The 18959-nt window shown below is 45.3% G+C and overlaps 1 protein-coding gene, 1 long non-coding RNA gene and 1 pseudogene across 9 annotated transcripts in view, besides 2 other annotated features; 1 reads left to right on the top strand and 2 right to left on the bottom strand.

The window, feature by feature from the left end:
- On the bottom strand, positions 1 to 2666 carry LOC102723701 (uncharacterized). The gene is made up of 2 exons (NR_125821.1): positions 2619 to 2666; positions 1 to 2038 (listed from the first exon to the last, which is right to left on the bottom strand). It is a non-coding gene; the product is annotated as an uncharacterized LOC102723701 (long non-coding RNA).
- Positions 1747 to 1956: an enhancer, noted in NCBI's record as "active region_27228". NCBI's record gives its function as "activates an Ori minimal core promoter by ATAC-STARR-seq in GM12878 lymphoblastoid cells {active_cell/tissue: GM12878}" and the evidence as "EXISTENCE:reporter gene assay evidence [ECO:0000049][PMID:35858748]".
- ERLIN2 (ER lipid raft associated 2) overlaps positions 1874 to 18959 on the top strand; it is a 21789-nt gene continuing 4703 nt past the window's right edge. Inside the window, exons 1-12 of one of the 7 annotated variants that reach the window (XM_047421307.1) lie at positions 1874 to 2247; positions 2571 to 2668; positions 3148 to 3269; positions 5605 to 5686; positions 7012 to 7058; positions 9595 to 9656; positions 9811 to 9936; positions 14799 to 14872; positions 15034 to 15092; positions 15635 to 15726; positions 16866 to 16955; positions 18690 to 18769. In XM_047421307.1, coding sequence (XP_047277263.1) covers positions 3163 to 3269; positions 5605 to 5686; positions 7012 to 7058; positions 9595 to 9656; positions 9811 to 9936; positions 14799 to 14872; positions 15034 to 15092; positions 15635 to 15726; positions 16866 to 16955; positions 18690 to 18769 — 819 coding nt within the window. In that variant the 5' untranslated portion in view covers positions 1874 to 2247; positions 2571 to 2668; positions 3148 to 3162. Of the gene's footprint in view, positions 2669 to 3147; positions 3270 to 5604; positions 5687 to 7011; positions 7059 to 9594; positions 9657 to 9810; positions 9937 to 10808; positions 11791 to 14798; positions 14873 to 15033; positions 15093 to 15634; positions 15727 to 16865; positions 16956 to 18689; positions 18770 to 18959 lie in introns of those variants that run through there. The other 6 variants (NM_001362878.2, NM_007175.8, XM_047421308.1 and 3 more) reach the window with 6 other exon arrangements.
- Positions 2436 to 3228: an enhancer, noted in NCBI's record as "H3K27ac hESC enhancer chr8:37594714-37595506 (GRCh37/hg19 assembly coordinates)". NCBI's record gives its function as "activates a minimal SCP1, AML or CMV promoter by ChIP-STARR-seq in primed H9 embryonic stem cells {active_cell/tissue: H9 hESC(primed)}" and the evidence as "EXISTENCE:reporter gene assay evidence [ECO:0000049][PMID:30033119]".
- On the bottom strand, positions 11794 to 13286 carry LOC728024 (STING1 ER exit protein 1 pseudogene; annotated as a pseudogene). The gene has a single exon (NR_003671.2). The product of NR_003671.2 is annotated as an STING1 ER exit protein 1 pseudogene (transcript).

Here is an 18959-nt window from a genome sequence, read left to right on the forward strand (position 1 = left end):
AATGTGAGGAAATTTTTGTGTTTTTATTATTTTTAATTGACACATAATAATATACATATTTGTGGGAAGGGGAGGGGAGACGGGTTGCCAGAGGTTGGTTAAAGGAAATTCTTAAATTACAAGTAATTTAAATACTTGATGCTGCAGGCTAGCCCCCATTTCATGGGTTGATGAACCCTAATATTTCCATTTTTCTTACTCAATTATTAAATAAACTATTAAATAAGCATGCCCAGCTGAGGTTATATCACTGAACAGGGAGAGAAAAAACTCAAGTTCTGATAGGATTGATCGAGAGATTGGCCAGCTGTGTCTGTTTGGGGTGGGGGATGCAGGGACAGAGTAGGGAGATGAAAGGCCTTCATTTATGGAGATGGGCACAGAGCTCCCAGACAGCACCATGTAACCCTCGTATGGGTTTCACCATGTAATGCTGAAACATCCCAACACCCAGAGCAAACGCAGGAAAGGTAAACGGGCCAATCCCAAGCAGGCATGCCTGGAAAAAACCACACTTCCCTTTTCCTGAGTCTTAAATCTGTCTAACACCACCAGCTTGCCATCTTCCCGGTGTAAAAGTTTTTCTTTTACTGAAGGCTATAATTAAGTGGACTCTTTCTCTCCTGCAAACAAAATATTAATAACCTCAGTGGCTGAATTAGAAATGCCCCAATGTGATGCTGGTGAATAGGGCAGGTGGAGGACAACGTGAGGCCCTTAGACTAGGAGACACAAACTCTGGATTCCGGGCCTGGTCCCACGTTGCCTTCAGTCTGTTTTTACTGGGCACCTAAGCCCCGGGGGTGCGGAAGGAAAGTCAGTCTCTGCTCTCCCGGGAACGTACAGTTTATCTAGAAAGACGAAGTGCACTAGCCCCTGTGCACTGTGGCAGGAGTTTAAAAAGCAGTGAACTCAAGATATTAAGGAAACACAAAGGAAACTTTCCTTGGCTTTTACCCTTGAACCTCGCTGAACTTCTTAGATTCCGTTCATTAAAATTAGAATAATAATTCCTTGTTAATATACTTTGTGGCGTTGCAGGATCCCAAGGGCCAAAGCTCCCAGAAAAATATAAAGAACAACTCAAGGTAGGGATTTTTGATTGGTGAGGTAATGATGCTAATCTGTACATTGAAAAGACTGTTTCATTTCAGCTGTGCTATAGGAAAGCAAACAGTTGCAACTCGCCAGTACCTTATCAAGGAGAGAAAAAAAAAAAGGCCGCGCATGGTGGCTCATGCCTGTAATCCCAGCAGTTTGGGAGGCCGAGGCAGGAGGATTGCTTGAAGCCAGAGTTTGAGACCAGAAATACCAAGACCCTGTCTTTACTAAAAATAAAATTGTCAAGTGTCGTGGCGTGCGCCTGTGGTCCCAGCTACTCAGCAGGGTGAGGTGGGAGGATCGCTTAAGCCCAGGAGTTCGAGGCTGTAGTGAGCTATGATCGTGCCACTGCACTCCAGCCTGGGCAAAAGAGCGAGACCTTGTCTCTAAAAAAACCAAAACGAACCAGGTTCGGCCTAATGCAGAAGGAAATCCGGAGCAATCCCCAAAGTCAACGCCTTGGAAAGGTTCGCCCTGGGTCTCAGTACTCCGGGGCATGCGCGTCCTGCCGCTCGCTCTCGGGGAGCTCCCACCAACACCGCCCTCATCCCCAGCCCCAGGACGGATACCCAAGACCGAGGTCCAGGACCGCACCGACCAAGTCGCGGGCGATCCCTGGCGGCCAGCTACGGCCATTGACCGCTGGGAGCGCGAGGGGCGGGGCGCAGAGCGAGCGCGGGGCGGGGGTGTGGTCTTCTCGCGTGAATTGATGGCGTCATCGAAGCGACGGCCCGGAAGGAAGTCGCGTGCTGAGGGGTGTGACGGTTTTCTTGCTCGTGGGCTCGGACGAGTACGGAGCGCCTGCAGGGACAGCCTGGTACGCGGCCCCCGCCCCTTCGTGCGCGCGCTGGGCCTAGCTGCCGCTCAGGGTCGGGGCTGACCCGTCACTTTCGGGAACCTCAGTCCCAGCAGCTTCTCTCCCTCAGCCGGCCCGCTCCTGGAGAGAGACAGAAACCCTTTTCTGTCGCGTCCTCTCCTTGCGAGCCGCAGGGGGACCGAGCGGAGGCTATTGGAGCCGCAGCCCCAGACCAGGGCGCTTGACCCTCTCTCGGAACGGGGCGGGGAAGGGGCGCGAGTGACCTCGGGGAGGGAAGGGCACTGGCAGGAAAGGACGCAACTGCAGATCGGTAGCCGGAGGCCGCCACGGTAAAATAAGCGCCTCGCAGATGTCCGCGCCCCGGTTACGTTAGACCTGGGAGGCAGAATCCACGCCCTGCGCTCACGGGCCCACGCACGCACAGCTGAACTTTGCAGTCAGTCACCATAGTTCCAGATCATTCAGCGTTCAGGATCCCACTCCTCCGCGTCCTGGTGCCTGAACGCGGTTGGACCTAGGAGCCTAGAGGCTCGCAGTTTGGGACATTGCCTTTCTCTCTGACCACGGGCTTGGGGATCTGTCAGGTGCAAAGTGCCAAAGTATATGGGGGGGAGTGTGGCTTCAGGCTTGTTCAGAGCCCTGTCCTGTTTAGGGCCAAAGGAATAACTGGGAAGGTGGATGCGAGGCCAACGAATCCTACCTTGAAACTCTGCTCGCCTGCTGGCTCTGCCACTCCAGCATCTGAAAGGAGTAAATAATGGTTTCCTTTGAAACTGCAGGCAATTAGGAGTGGGAGACTCTGACCAGAATTACATAGCCACAACTGCCTGTCATTTGGCATCCTCTGTAATTTGGGCCAAAGTACTGCAGCTGCCTCTCTTCCCTACTACTGGTAGGAAAGGTTCAGTGACAGCACATTCGTGTTCACAGGAAGACAAGGCTGTGTTCTGAACCCTACCCAGCTGGCACGGGTTCTCCCTTGAGCAACGGCTGTATCCGGAGCCAGTGCTTCCTCAGTGCGGTGGGGGCTCTAATTTTACAGTTAAAGAAAGGGGAACGTTGACTGAGAACGAGGAGGAAGCGAGTTGTAGATCTAGCCTTGTGTTCACACGACACCAGGCTGGATATGAGTCACTCGCAGGGAGCTCAGCTTGGTGAGGTCCTCTCGCTGTTGTGGCCTTTTCTCCTGCACGTTGGACCACACACATTTTCCCGTGTCTTTTCCCTAGGATAAAGGCTCACTGATGGCTCAGTTGGGAGCAGTTGTGGCTGTGGCTTCCAGTTTCTTTTGTGCATCTCTCTTCTCAGCTGTGCACAAGATAGAAGAGGGACATATTGGGGTATATTACAGGTAAGGCAGAGACAGGGAGAAGCCGGCAACTTCCTGTTAAATAGCTCCCTTTCCTGGTCATTGCTTTCCTAGCAGATTCTGCTGAACATCTCTATTTATATTTCCTTGAATAGGGGAGCCTTTTCAGATGGAGCTTTTTATGTCAGTAACCACGGGAAAGAGAATACACACACACACATATATATGTAAATTTAGAACTTCACTTAGTAGTCCAAGATGATGCCATGGGTGGTGATTAATAAATGTGTATATAGATTTAGAGACAAAATCTAAAGGAAACTGGTGCTCCTCATTGATCATCCCTAAAATACTGTTTTCTCCTACATTCCTCTGGCAGTCTTAGCTCTACATCCCTCTGGCAGTCTTAGCTCTACATCCCTCTGGCAGTCTTAGCTCTACACTGCTAGGTTACCTTTACAAAAGCCAGCTGAGTACCAGTTCTTGATGGCAACTTGAGAAGGTAGCCTACTCTGCTAATTTGGGATGCTCTTTTAAAATTAACATTTCAGCCAGCCTGGGTCACATAGTGAGACCCTATCTCTAAAAAAATAAAATAAAAAATAAAATTTTAATTGGCCGGCTGTGGTGTCACACACACGTAGTCCTAGCTACTCAGGAGGCTTAGATGGGAGGATCACCTGAGCCCAGGAGATTGAGACCAGCCTGAGCAACATAGTGAGAGCCCATCTCTACAAAAAGTAAAAAATTAGCCGAGCATGGCAGCACGTGCCTGTAATCCCAGTTATTTGGGGGGCTGAGGTGGGAGGATCACTTGAGCCCAGAAGTTTGAGGCTGCAGTGAGCTATGATCACACCACTGCACTCCAGCCTGGGTGACAGAGCAAGACCCTGTCTCTAAAAATAAAATAATATTAACATTTCAAGAAAAATGAAAGAGCCTGCAGGTTGACTTACGTCAATCAAAGCAAGCCTTAGGATAGTGGTTCCTACAATAAAGGAACCCATTATGTCACTGTTTATTTTATTGGTTTTTTTTTTAATTCTTTGCCTAATATAAAGCAAAGAAGCACTTATAAGTCTTGGGTTGCTTTCTTTTTAGTAACCTCCATGACCAAGTGTTTTGCTTTATGTCTTTATGAACTCTTCTTATATGTGCTGTTGTGATGCTTGTTTCTGGATTGCTAACAGCAAGTTCTAAAACTCTGATTGGAATTCCTCTCTCCTTTAATTCTTTCTCCCCATCATCTGCTTACATGTTCCCCAAAAAGGCTTTTAACTTCATCATTTACATATAACTTGATTAGAAAGGTAACTCTATTGCCAAAACATATATTTCAATTATTTATAAAGTACTTCAAATTATTCTTTTGGTTGGTCATGTCATTGGACTCCAGCATTAGTGCAGGTAGTTGATAACCATATTACTGGACTTAACTGCCCTAATGGATTGCCACAAGCCCAACAGATATGACAAAGTAAAACAGACTTCTTATCTTTTTTTTTTTTGAGACAGTCTCGCTGTGTTGCCCAGGCTGGAGTGCAGTGGTGAGATCTTGGTTCACTGCAACCTCCGCCTCCCAGGTTCAAGCAATTCTCTGCCTCAGCCTCCTAAGTAGCTGGGATTACAGGTGCCTGCCACCACGCCTGGCTAATTTTTGTATTTTTAGTAGAGACGAGGTTTCACCATGTTGGCCAGGCTGGTCTTGAACTCCTGACCTAATAATCCACTCACCTCAGCCTCCCAAAGATCACAGGCGTGAGCCACCGCGCCTGGCCAGACTTTCTCTTATCTAAGTATACCCATGGATTCTGCTGTCTTTTTCTTTTTTTTTTTTAGACAGAGTCTCACTTTGTTGCCCAAGCTGGAGTGCAGTGGCACAATTATGTCTCACTACATCCTCAACCTCCCAGGCTCAAGCAATTCTTACATCTCAGCCTCCCAAGTAGCTGGGACTATAGGCATACAACCACCACACTCAGCTAATTTTTTTCCTTTTCTTTTTTTGTAGAGACAGGGTCTCACTATTTGAGACAGGTTGGTCTCAAACTCCTGAGTTCATGCAATCCTCTCACCTCAGCCCCGCAAAGCGCTGGGACTGCACTAGTGGGTTCTGCTGTCTTTATTCCATTTAGCCTATGTGCCTATTTTTCTCCTTGCAAAAGCATGAACAATAGTTTTATGTTTTACCATCAGGCTTCCTAGAATATTAGGATCTAGCTGAGAGGAAGAAAGGGATCTGTAGCCATGGCTGCAGCACATGTCACTCTCTATTATATGTTTATAGGGCTGAAGGGAAAGTTGACCCTCATGATATTGATCTAACAGAGCCTTCTTGCCAAACTGAAGCTGCCTCTCTCTTCCCCCTCCTCTGCAGAGGCGGTGCCCTGCTGACTTCGACCAGCGGCCCTGGTTTCCATCTCATGCTCCCTTTCATCACATCATATAAGTCTGTGCAGGTATGCTTGGCCTCTGTGGTATGGCTGGACGACTGCAAACTTGGGCTGTTAACTAGTGCATGATTTGAAATTATTTAGCCATTGGATGAGTAAAATGCCATTCTAGAGAATGATATAAGGATAATATATACATATTATATATATATAATATATATATATATACACACATACACTATATATATATAAAATGAGGCTGGGGATTATTCCTTCAAGATAAAGCCAGAGAAGAACCTGTTCTGAGTATATGGAAAGAAAAGTCAGGGTTTATGTGTGTATGTTTTAAATCACAGGCTACCATGTTAAATGGAAAGAAAACATAGTAATTTTGCTGATTCTTATTTGAATTCAGAAATACGAACATAATTTTTGCAGTGAGTGGGGAGGAGTTAAACTAAGTGAGGGGAGGTGACATCTAAAATAGGAGTGAGGTTAGTTGTGGCAGATCTAAAGCCTGGCTAAGTTGGACTTGCCATCTCTGAAGTATGTCCAGCTAAGAAGAATAACAAGATTTTACACTTTACACTGACCCAGGAGAATGTCTTGGGATACCTGCTAGGCATTTTCCCTGTAAGTTTCATGTGCTGTTTACCAGGCTTTGTGGCTTTCAAACTGCATTCAGGTACATTGTCTCATTTGAGTCTTGTAGTAATCCTGAGAATGGGCTGAGCATGTGCTAGGGTCTGAGACAGGTTAAATAGGTAATCTGCTGTTTCAAAACTAGTACAACAGCCCTCCCCCTTATCCACTATTTCACTTTCCACAGGCTCAGTTACCCACAATAAACCATGGTCTGAAAACAGGTGACTACAGTACAATAAGATATTTTGAGAGAGAGAGAGAGAGACCACCTTCAAATAACTTTTATGACAGTATATTGTTATAATTGTTCTATTTTATTATTGTTGATCACTTACTGTACCTAATTTATAAATTAAACTTTATCATAGGTATGTGTTATAGGGTTTGGTACTCTCCCCGGTTTCAAGCATCCACTGGGGGCCTTCGAACATAAAGCGGTGCCTAACATAAATAGAAGAGGTAGAAGCAAGCACAAGTCTTAAGATGCCCAATCCAGTGTCATCTTCACTAAACCATTATTACTCAGCTTGTTGATGTGGTGGTTCACTTATAGTGAGGCTGGGGCACGGGCCTTTACTTGGCTTAGCAACCCTGTGAGGAAGGAGGATTAGGTGGGGTAATCATGTTTAATGAAGGCCATGCTCAACCCAAACAGTTATTCCAGGACAAAGGCATTTAGGATTCTGAAAAGTAAGTTACTTTGTCACTGCCCATCTTCTAGCACTTTATGTTTCCTCTGTTTCCAGACCACACTCCAGACAGATGAGGTGAAGAATGTACCTTGTGGGACTAGGTAAGGTACCCAGAATAAAGCTTTTAAGCCCAAATAAGTCAGAGAAAAGGCTGTCTGGCTGGTTGCAGGAAGAGACAGTGAAAAGGGAGGCACCCTTTCTTGGTTAATTCCCTGTCTCGTAGCTCCCTATATTGATTTGACCAGGTGATGGAGTGCAGTAGAGGAAATCATAGAAGGTTCAGGAGGGGCTAGAATGCTGTATGTGATAAGGAGTTTGCACTTACTCTATTAGAAGTGAGGATCGGCCGGGCGCGGTGGCTCACACCTGTAATCCCAGCACTTTGGGAGGCTGAGGCAGGTGGATCATGAGGTCAGGATATCGAGACCATCCTGGCCAACATGGTGAAACCCCGTCTCTACTAAAATACAAAAATTAGCTGGGTGTGGTGGTGCATGCATGTAGTCCCAGCTACTCGGGAGGCTGAGGCAGGGGAATGACTTGAACCTGGGAGGCAGAGATTGCAGTGAGCCAAGATCACACAATTGCACTCCAGCCTGGCGACAGAGTGAGACTCCGTCTTTAAAAAAAAAAAAAAAAAGAAGTGAGGATCACTAGTCACAATAACAAAGACATGGAATCAACCCAAATGCCCATCAACGATAGACAGGATAAAGAAAATGTGATACATATATACTATGGAATACTATGCAGCCATAAAAAGGAACAAGATCATGTCCTTTGCACGGGACATGGATGGAGCTGGAAGCCATTATCCTCAGCAAACTAATGCAGGAACAGAAAACCAAACACCACATGTTCTCACTTATAAGTGGGAACTGAATGATGAGAACACATGGACACATGGAGGGGAACAACACACACTGGGGCCTGTCAGTGGATAGGGGGTGGGGAGAGGGAGAGCATCAGGAAGAATAGCTAATAGATGCTGAGCTTAATACTTGGGTGATGGGATGATCTGAGCAGCAAACCACCATGGCACACGTTTACCTATGTAACAAACCTGCACATCCTGCACATGTACCTCTGAATTTAAACAATGGAAAATAAAATAAAATTTTAACGTTAAAAACAAAAAAAGAAGTGAGGATGCACAAAGGTTTTTAGCAGATAAATGACCTGATACAAGAAGATAACTTGCATAACTAAAGAGAATGTCATAAAGGTAGGGGAGACCTTCAGGGCAAAGAGATCCGAAGAGAACACTGCTACAGCGGTCCCACTGGAAAGCAAAGACAGTTTAAACTGGGATAGAGTGACAAAGAATACCACAAAGAAACACTCTGACAAATCCGGAATTGGAACATCCCACAAGATCGCAGGCCTGATCTCTTCACAAAGTGGTTGTATTTAGAGGGATGCTGGATTGGACAGAGACTTACAAGAAACATAAACAGAAGCAAGGGTGAGCATTGATTAGAACCTGGTTCAAAATTAACAGCTATAACAGATACGACAGAAACTATATGAGTCCACTCAGGCTGCCATGACAGAGGACTACACACCAAGGGACTAAAATAATAGATATTTTCTCACCATTCTGAAGGCCCAAAGTCCAAGATCCGGGTAACAGCAGGGGTAGTTTTGGTGAGACCTCTCTTTCTGGCTTGCAGGTGACCACCTTTTTGTCACATCCTCACAAGGCCTTTCCTCTGTATGTGCAAGAAGAGAGAAAAAGGTCTTTGGTGGATACCAGACCTTTTGGATTACAGCCCACCCTTATGACCTGTTTAACCTTAATTACCTTCTTAAAGGTCTAATCTCCAAATACAGTCACATTGGGGGTTAGGGCTTCAACATATGAATCTGGGGGCGAGGCATACACAGGTCAGTCCATAACACAAACTGTTGGGGAAATCTGAATAAGGACTGGGTATTAGGTGATATTACAGAATTATTGCTAATTTTCTTAGGCTTGGGAATGATACCATGAGTGTGTAGGAGAATGATTATTCTTAAGACAGTGCTCACCAAAGTAAAGGAGTAAAGTATCCTAACTGCAGCTTACTTTGAAATGTTCAGAAAAAAAAAAGGTCAATAAATAAGGTAAAATGTTATCAGTGTTGAATTCAGGTATCTGGATATGGATGTTAGTTATACTACTCTTTCGGCTTCTCTATGTTTGAAATCTTTTTATAATAAATATTTGAGGGCAAAGGGAGTGTGACACCAAAGTAATAGTGAAGACAGTTTAAGAAACATTGATCATAACATTCCACAGTAACCTTCTAAGTTCTGAAAACTTCACCTTGACCCTCCTTAGTCTTTTCCGTGCAACTGATTAATCAAAAGGCATTGCTGATTCCAAAGATATGAGTTACTCTTTCGTACTGGTCCCCAAAAGTCTCATTCATGTCTTTGTAGAGATGTTCCTAGGCAGTGTGATTTCTCAGGAGAGTATGTTGTTGCCATGAGCCCTGCAGAACCTCCCACTTGGAGATCCAAGCTGCCTTCCAACTTCCCGTGAACTCTTCTACTCCTTTTCTGCCAAGCCCCACATCTTACGCCATCACCCTGGGGGACTGCACCATATTCTAAGGCTTCCCAGTGACTTCTTGTCCATTCTCCCTCCAATAGTGGTGGTGTGATGATCTACTTTGACAGAATTGAAGTGGTGAACTTCCTGGTCCCGAACGCAGGTACGTCTTAACAGTTTATTCCCACCACCAGCTCACTTTCCCCAGCATGCCACTCCCGTGTCTGTTGTAGCACCTTGGAAAAGGAGAGCTGCCGTGTCTGAGGGCATTTTGAGTCTTGCCTTTTCTTATGCCAAGCCCTCTCCTTCCCTCTCAGTGTATGATATAGTGAAGAACTATACTGCTGACTATGACAAGGCCCTCATCTTCAACAAGATCCACCACGAACTGAACCAGTTCTGCAGTGTGCACACGCTTCAAGAGGTCTACATTGAGCTGTTTGGTAAGAAAGTCTCTCCTGAGCATGCCGTGCTTAAGCAGGGTTCCTGGAACCCCGCGTCTCTCCACTGCCTAAAGCCTGGCTGCCTGCAGGGTGTGATGGTCACTTATGGACAGGAAATGTTAAAGAATCTTGTGCTCAGGAGCTGGTCACAAAGGAGTTCATGGAGAATGCTGATAGCTATGCAACAAGATCCTTAGAGGGCTGGAGCTTTGGGCACAGGGACCATAGTGGAGTAGAGTATTCACTTCTGGCCTCAATCAGAGGCTGGAGTGGAAATGTGTTCCCACTGTTCCTAAACTATCATTCTATAATGAAGACAAGGTCCATTCTAGAAGAACCTTAGAGATTGTCCAGACCAGCATCCTCATTTTAAGCTGAGGGTACTGTGACCCAAAGCAAGAAAGTCACAGAGCCAGATGCCAATTAGTAGTGGGGCTGAAACAGGAGCCTTCCTCTCCTGGCTCTTCAGCATTCTTCTCACCATGCAACACTGAATGGAGGGCCCCCAGGAATGGGTGATGAAAAAGACATGATTCATAGTTAATTCTAGAAGTGAGATGAGAACCATAGCTCCTTCCAGTTCTCAGAACCTTTGTGATTATTATTTTTTTACTCTGTACCTGTAGCAACGAATAGAAAAACACTTTAAACAAAAAGATTCCACGTGCCTAAGTAGATATGTTTTGTCCTTTTTACCTTTTTCAAAGTAAAGGCAACCTGACTTAGCAGCAAAGGAAGGACACAGTTGGGTAACTGTTATAACTTGTTTGCAGTCAAGTATTCTGTTTAAACTCACTGCCAGAAATTCTCTAATAGCCAATGCCAAAAGTAAATGAATTTTTAACCAATAGTATAACTGTTCTTGACACTAGGACTGGAAAATGATTTTTCCCAGGAATCTTCATAAAAGGGACCCTGAGCAAGAACATTTTTCATAGCAGACAGGAGGACTCATCCACATCGCCAGCAATCATAATTAAGCAAACCGCCTTTTGCACCATTTAAGATTTAGGAAATCATCCAAATTACTTTTAATGTTTCTGCAGTAGAAAATGAATCTAAATTCATTTTATAGGGTTTGTAGTCTTTTATCTGTTTTGGATTCACTGTGCTTTTAAGAAAAAGTTGGTAAATTTGCCGTTGATTTTTCTTTTTAACCTCAAACTAATAGAATTTTATAAAATATTAATTTTCTCTAGCCATTGTCTTAGGACTTGTGACATTACATGAACATTTCAAAGCACTGAAAAAAGACAAAGGATCCCTAATGTCCCTGAAGAGGAAATTAAAATACAAAGTTGTTTTTCATTAGCAAACTTCTTACTTTCTTACAGCTAAACTTGGTAGCTTAGTGAAGTACAGCTGCTTGTATGGAGGAGCTGGGGAAATATATTTGCTTTGAAACTTTTTTATTTTTACATCTCAGTCTTGCTAGCAAGCACTACTTGGCTTAGAATCTGTCATATCCATAAAGGAGGAGCTCATGTCTCTAGTCCTGGCCCTTCAACTCAGAAGGTTCTTCTATACTTTCCTTCTCTCAGGACTCTTATAGCCCAGACTTTAAACATGAAGCTGCATAATTTTCATCACTTCTTACTCTGCCGCATCCTCTTTGCCCATGTTATTAAAGTATTATCTAATACTTTGAAGTTTACCTGAAGAACCTCTTTGTGTGTACTTAGTAATACAACTTTTTTTCCTGTCCCAACACCTTTTAATACAGTTGAATGGATAAAAACATGGATACAAACACATGGATATAGTTATCACTGAAGCAGTGTGACATAAAATAATACCTATGTATACAACACTCCTCTGTAAATAGCAAATGTAAAGTAAAAGATACACAACAGATCATTTTGTTTATCTCACTATCATTTATTAATCTATAATGTATCCCTCCTATGTATCCATGCAAGGAAGCAATACTAGCTGCCCGACTAGAGGGCAGCTCCCTTGGGTTACTTATTCAGACCCCATTTTCATTCGGATCTGAGCTGTCTTACCCGCTCACTGCAACTTGGCTTTTCCTTCTTTGAGTATAAAGTCTGACATGGGATGGCTCACCTATAGCTTCAGTGTGTTAAGTAAAGAAAGCTTTATGCAGATTCTGGTTTTTAGTGGGTCTCCTCTGACAGTAGAAAGATTCAAACCACAACCAATTCCAAGAACCCTTCTAAGAACAGAGACAGAGTCACTTCAAAGGATCTGACTTGCTATACCTAAATATAATTCACGCTGCTTTTCTCTATGACGTACCATAATATTTTGTCCAAAAATCTTGAAACATGTTATTAACTTTGAAGAAAGAATAAAACCAGCCACTTTAGAGACCAGAGACACTCAAGCACTTATCTATTCATAAAGTTTCTACACAGCTGAAGAAGTTTGCATCAAATGGACAAAAAATAGTAAAGAAAATCTAAATACAGAAAAAAAATTAGAGAAAAATCCATCTCCTAGAAAGCAGGTCAAATGGACTCAGTTAAAGACCTCACTGCATGTAGGAGAATCAATGGGAAACAACATAAAGCCTTCTGCTGGGATATAAATAGGAACCAGTCTATGTAATCAAGAAGTTACTTTGTCTCCTGATCTAAATGCTTGCCTCCAGTCTAGGGCTCAGAAAAAAAGCCTGGTTATTTGAACTGGTTGTCAATCAAGGTCCCCTTCATTTTCACTTTCTTGGCTTCCCATTCAGCCAGCTCTTGCAGTGGCCTCTTGCTCATGCCTTTGCGCTCCAGCTGTTTTTCAATCACTTTGGCATTCTGTGCATACGAGTCAGCAACTTCCCTAGCCTCAATCTCCTCTTCCTCTTCATCAATGGTAGACACAGTGACAGAACTGAACTTGCCCATGTCTTTGGTCCGTTTGGTCATCATCACCTTCTTAGGAGGCTCTTGTTTCTGAGTATATATGTTCGTTTTCCCAAAGCCCTGGCCAAACTTGACGACTGCTCCATCCACAATGAAGGTAACGGGAGCATTCTTCGGCTGGGATTGGTAGAAGAGCAGCAGTCCACACTTTGCACATTTCTTTCTGTACTGTAGTTCAATGCCTTCAGGTCTCCGCAGATACATAGTCTCTTCGTCTTCTGTGTTACAAAACTTATGGGCATGTTTGGCAGCATCAATCACACGGGACCGGTCCCGGGGCCTCATGGGCAATTTCTCTAACTGACAGTCCAGCACTAGGACCACCTGGCCGCACAAACAGTAGTACACATGGAGGGGCTTCTCGCCGTCGTCATATTCCTCCCGGTCCCGAGTGTCAGAGCAGACTACTGACCGAGACACTACTTTCGGCATGGTTTCCAGGAGCAACCTGAAAAACTCTACGCAAAGAAGAGGGTCGCGCCGAAATGACGTCACGAGCGCGCCTTGCGCCTTTTCCCTGCGGCTACCTTAGTAATACAATTTAAATGGCATTTATCAACATTTCCATAACATATAAACATCAATATTACTAAAACAACTTGAAAAGTATTTCTTTCACATTTTTCCGGTAAGCTACTAGCCCAGGGCCACAGGTTTCCACCTTGACAGATATAATTTGGTCTGAGGAATGACGTTATTAACTTATGGAGGATACGGGCCATTTAAAGTTTGGTTGGTATTCTACTTAAAATTACTTAAAATATGAAATGTAATATTTAGTTCTAGTTGTTAAATTGGTTGACCCCTGGCAGGTGTGAGGTGCCGACTTGATGGCATTTCTCCTTCGGTGCTCAGAGGCTTGTGAGAGCACATCCTATATGTGGAAACGTTACCGTCCCTTGTTTACTGATACTACTGTCTTAAAATCCTAACAATCAAGGCCCACCAGTTAAACAAGCTTGTTATTTTTGCTACTAGCCAGCTTTCATGGGCCTCCGTTTTGGCATCAGTGAAAGAGCGGAGACTTTCTCTTCCTCAGAGGCTCTTATTTGAGCACAGGTGACCACGAAAGGACCACTTAAAGCAGATGGCGGCTGACAGCAAAGGAGAGATGCAGTGTACAAGTCCCAGCCTGATTTCACTCTGTCTTTTTCTCTAAGCCCCTCCGGGATCTTATCAAGGATATCATGGGCAGAAGGCAAGGAAGAGGATTCTAAAACCTGAGAAGCCCATGCCAGAGAAGTCAGCTTTGGTACTGCTGTTCTGAGATTGCAGCTGGAAAGGAAGGTGGGGGGAGAGTCAGTTACAGCTGTTCCTACATTTGTCTGTGAAACAACTCATGTGGATTCCAGACAAAGAAATCAGGACCAAAGCAAACAGCACATCAAAAGCCTGGGGCTCGCTTCCAGAACTGTAAATTTTAATTTTCCCTTTGTGTTGTTTGATGGAGTTCCTAATAGAAACAGTCTTCCTTGGGGCTCTCCTTGACGTCAAAGTCTGTTTTTCTTTTAGAAACTTCTAAAATTACTAGATTTAATGTGCTCAGCTCTTTCCACAAAACCTAAATAGCCATTCCACCTTCCTTCTTCTTGGAAACTGTGAACCTTCCTTCTCTTTTGCTGCTATTGTCTAGGGAAAGGCTGCTGCCTCACGCAAGAAATGTGCTAGAATTGTTTGTTCTTCCTTTTTTTTCTTTTTAAGCTCTCACCCCCTGTAGGGCATGGTTAGTATTTTCAGAACAAAGGTTGAGTTTTATCTTGAGGCACAGAAAGAAAATGCCCTTGCGTTCACCATGTAGAGGGCTGCCTGCACAGGCTGCTTCAGAAGTTGGGCAGGGGATCTTTAGATTTGTGGGCTTTGATAAGCACACTCCCTTGGGAAAGTACATTCTTGAGCTGGTGATTGAGCTTGCACTTTACCTCATCCTGCCCTCCCTCATCTAGAAAGTGTAACAACTCCTTTTTCTCCATCTTTTCTTTATTCCAGATCAGATTGATGAAAATCTCAAACTGGCTTTGCAACAGGACCTGACCTCCATGGCCCCTGGGCTGGTCATTCAAGTAAGCATTGCTGCATGGGAGCAGCCCCTCTCTCTCTGACACTGCTTCCCTTCTCCCAAGGGATGTCCTTTTTGTGCAGGAAGATCAAGGCCCAGTGGGAGCTGGGTGTGTCCCTCACTACCCTCACTTTCCCATCAGCTGCTGTTTTAATCTCTCTCCAGGCTGTGCGGGTAACAAAGCCCAACATACCAGAGGCAATCCGCAGAAACTACGAGTTGATGTGAGTATACCCTCCGCCTGGGCTGTGACCACCACTGCCTCCCACCTCCCACCTCGTCCCATCCCAGAGGTAACCAAAGCTGCCAGGCTTCTCGGTTATCCCCTTGCTGGAGGATTTGCTACAGCCCATTGCACTGTAAGATTGGGCAGGCGTGTCAGGGCCACCACTGGGGCTCCCTACCTGTGATTGAGAACCCCAGGATAATCCCTGTAGAGCAGCGATGTTTTGAAAAGGGCCAGGGGGCCTTGTTTGTGTTCAGTGACTCATGCCCAAGGTGGAGACAGGAGCAAGAGACCAGTAAGTGGACAGGCAGGTGTATTTTACTAAATTATGTTTTATTTCCCACAAATGAGTTACTTGGGAGGAGAAGAGCTATGTTACTGTCAACAACAGATCAGCTTTTACCTGGGCCATCGAACAGCCTTCCAGGAGGAGTAGGAAATGGGAGTTTGCCTCTCTTCAGCAGAAGAATTCGACTTACCTGGGGATAGTGAAGCTCCTGAGTTTTCCATAGCTGCCTCACGGCTTTTTCTTCTCTTCAGGGAAAGTGAGAAGACAAAGCTTCTCATTGCCGCCCAGAAACAGAAGGTGGTGGAAAAGGAAGCAGAGACAGAGCGGAAGAAGGCGCTCATTGGTCTGAATGTGGTTCTGTGATCCCCCTTTCCAGGCAGAAAGGCTGGGGGTGGTGGGAAGATGCAAGGAGGCTAAGGCCTGGTGAGACCCCATGGTCCTCCAAACCACTTCCACAGCACAGGAGTGGCAGGTGGACTCCCAGAAACAAAGTTGAAATTGTCAGATCATGGCCAAGGATAATGAGTTTTTTGAGTTTCCACTTAACTCTTAAATGAAAGAAGCCCCACCTGTTAATTCTTTCTTTTTTTTTTCTTTTGAGACGGAGTCTTGCTCTGTCACCCAGGCTAGAATGCAGTGGCACGATCTCAGCTTACTGCAGCCTCTGCCTCAGGTTCAAGTGATTCTCCTGTCTCAGCCTCCTGAGTAGCTGGGATTACAGCGGGTGCCGGCACGCCTGGCTAATTTTTGTATTTTTAGTAGAGATGGGGTGTCACCATGTTGGCCAAGCTGGCCTCGAACACTTGACCTCATGATCTGCCCACCTCAGCCTCCCAAAGTGCTGGGATTACAGACGTGAGCCACCGTGCCCAGCCTGTTAATTCTTAATAATAATGGCTAATACTTAATTAAGCAATTACTGTGAGCCACATACTTTTCTAACCACTTAATATGTGGGTTAAGTCAACCCTCACAACCACTGTGGAGGTAGGTACTGTATTATCCTTAACCTCATTTTATCGAACCAAAGCACAGAGGGGTAAAATACCATGCCCAAGGGCATATGGCAAGTAAGGGGTGGAACTGGGGTTCAAACCAAGGACACTGGCTCTAGAAGCTATGTTCTAAGTCACTGCACCGTATTATCAACAACTAACCTGACCCCTGTCTACAGTGAAGGGCCAGGTAGAACCCTACTAGAGTACTTCATTCTTACAGAATATTCCTTTGGGAGAAGTTCCCTTGTGAAGTTAGGGCTCATGCTTCCTATGTTGGGCCCAGGTCTCCTTGGTTACTGTCTCACACTGATGGAAGGGGACTGTGCTCACTGGCATATCCCACTCTGCCCTTGTGTGCACTCACAGCTGCCCTCTGGGGGCTCTCCAGACAAGCTGGCCCACCAGGACACTCAGCTCGGGTGAAAGGTGAAATTAGTCAAACTCTGAAATGCCAGAACCGTAATCCTCACTATCATTTATTCAGAGGCAGAAAAAGTGGCCCAGGTGGCTGAGATCACCTACGGGCAGAAGGTGATGGAGAAGGAGACTGAGAAGAAGATTTCAGAAATTGAAGGTAAGCAGAAGTGGCAGTCATGCCTGAGTCCTCCTCAGACCCCGCCCTGTGGCCAGTGGGTTGGGGAGCCATTGCCTTTGCCCTTTAACTGTGCTCAAGGATGTCATGATCTCTGTGCAACAGCAGCTTTTCTCCATGTGGAGACTTGAGTTTTGAGGCTATTGTGGCCAGGCTAGCATCTGTTTTCTACTTCAGAGAGCATTTGTTCATTCAGCAAATGTGGCTGGAGTGCCAGTATGTGCCCAGGATTTTGTTAGGCATGAGAAAAAGGAAGTCCCGTAGACCCTGCTTTCTTGGAGTTCCCAGGCTAGCAGGGCCTTGGAGCGGTGGGAGTGTACTCTCAGCAGTTGGCTCTCCCCCTTGCCTTAGCTACTTCTGCTCCAAAGTTGGTCAGTGCCACGGTTTTGGGCTCAAAGTCTGTTCTCCAGGTCTATGCAGATATTAAGCCAGGTTTGAAGAAGACAGATTTTCAGCACCTGTCAGACAGGAGCTGGAGAGAAAGGTTTTCTTTGCTGGCTTTTCTGAATATCATTCACCTTCTGTTCCTGCTTCTAAGCCTGCACCTCCTTCCCACTGCCCACCTCTTACTTCTTGGGGTGGCTTATTTCAAGCAAATTCCAAGGCACAACTGGGACCTCAAGGCCCAGCTTCAGGCTACAAAGTGTTATGTCTAATTATACTCATTATTGGGCCTGTCAGGCTTTGCAGGGGCCCATAGAGGAGCCAGTTAGGATTTCACAGATCAGTGGCTCCTCATTAGGGAGCTCTTAGCAAAGCAACACGTTTTTATTTCTCACAAATACATGTCATCAAGTGCTCAGGCCAGCTGAGGGGGCCCCACAGCAGCCAGAACCCTGGCTGGACTGCAGGTTCCTTCCACGCGGGGTCACACTGAGGGCACTCAGTGAAAACCCACCCACAGACTAACCTTTCTCCCAGGCATGTTGCTACATATATTACTCACATGAGGCTGGCCCGTTCCCAAGACAAGGAGGTAAATATCAAAAATTTTCTATCAGCTTGACAGAAAGCTAGTCTCAGAGCTGATTAGGGAAGAATATGACTTGCATAGAGGAATTAAATAGGTCTTAATCCAAACACGTGTTGGTCTGGACCATGGCGTGTAATTCTCTCTCAGAATCGCGCCAGCTTAATCACTGTTAATTAGGACCTTTTTGAAATGATTGATGGAAATAAAAGGGAATTGAAGTTGGAGAGGGACTGAACTATGTTATGTTCGTGGCATTCAGTTTTAGGGTGGATCGACCTCTGACCGTACTTAGAGCCACCTTTGAGCTTTCCTGCTTTTGCTATGTAGCACAAGAGGGAGGAGTGGAGAGCTCTGGCCTAGAGCTTGAGGCAGGGTCCCACTGCTGTGCTACACAGACATGGATCTCCAAAAGAAGTAAGACAGGAAGCGCTTCTGGCTAACAGTGCTTTCTTCCATAGTGCTGTCAACATGTATGTTTGGGCCATAGCCACAGACTTGCTGTCCTTGTCATAGGGAGATGCTTTCAAAACACTTTTTCATCTTAGTTGATCCTTACAACAACTTGTACAATAGGGGAAAATGCATGTAAAACACAGAGGAAAAAGCAGTCTGCCCCAAGTCACAGAGGCAATCAGGGGCGAAGTTCCAGGGACCAGAACAGAGTCTTCCCATAGCCTCTGCACTTCCTGCAAAGAACTCAGTTTTAGCACTTCACCAAGTTCACTGCACTCCTTCCCCCTCAGATGCTGCATTTCTGGCCCGGGAGAAGGCAAAGGCAGATGCTGAGTGCTACACTGCTATGAAAATAGCCGAAGCCAATAAGGTAAAGACCCCGCACAGCCTGATAAAAAGGAGTCTTTGGGTCTGGGTCTGTATTGCAGGAGAGTTTCCAGTGTTGAGCGCCTGCCACCACCCAAAGCCCTTCATGGGCAGAACTGAGGATGCCTTTGCTGTGTGGTGCAGGTACTTTCCTTCTCCTTGGACATGCCTTGATAGAAGTTTAGTTTAATTTT

The sequence above is a fragment of the Homo sapiens genome, chromosome 8 (genome assembly GCF_000001405.40).
Source record: "Homo sapiens chromosome 8, GRCh38.p14 Primary Assembly".
Taxonomy (NCBI): domain Eukaryota; kingdom Metazoa; phylum Chordata; class Mammalia; order Primates; family Hominidae; genus Homo; species Homo sapiens.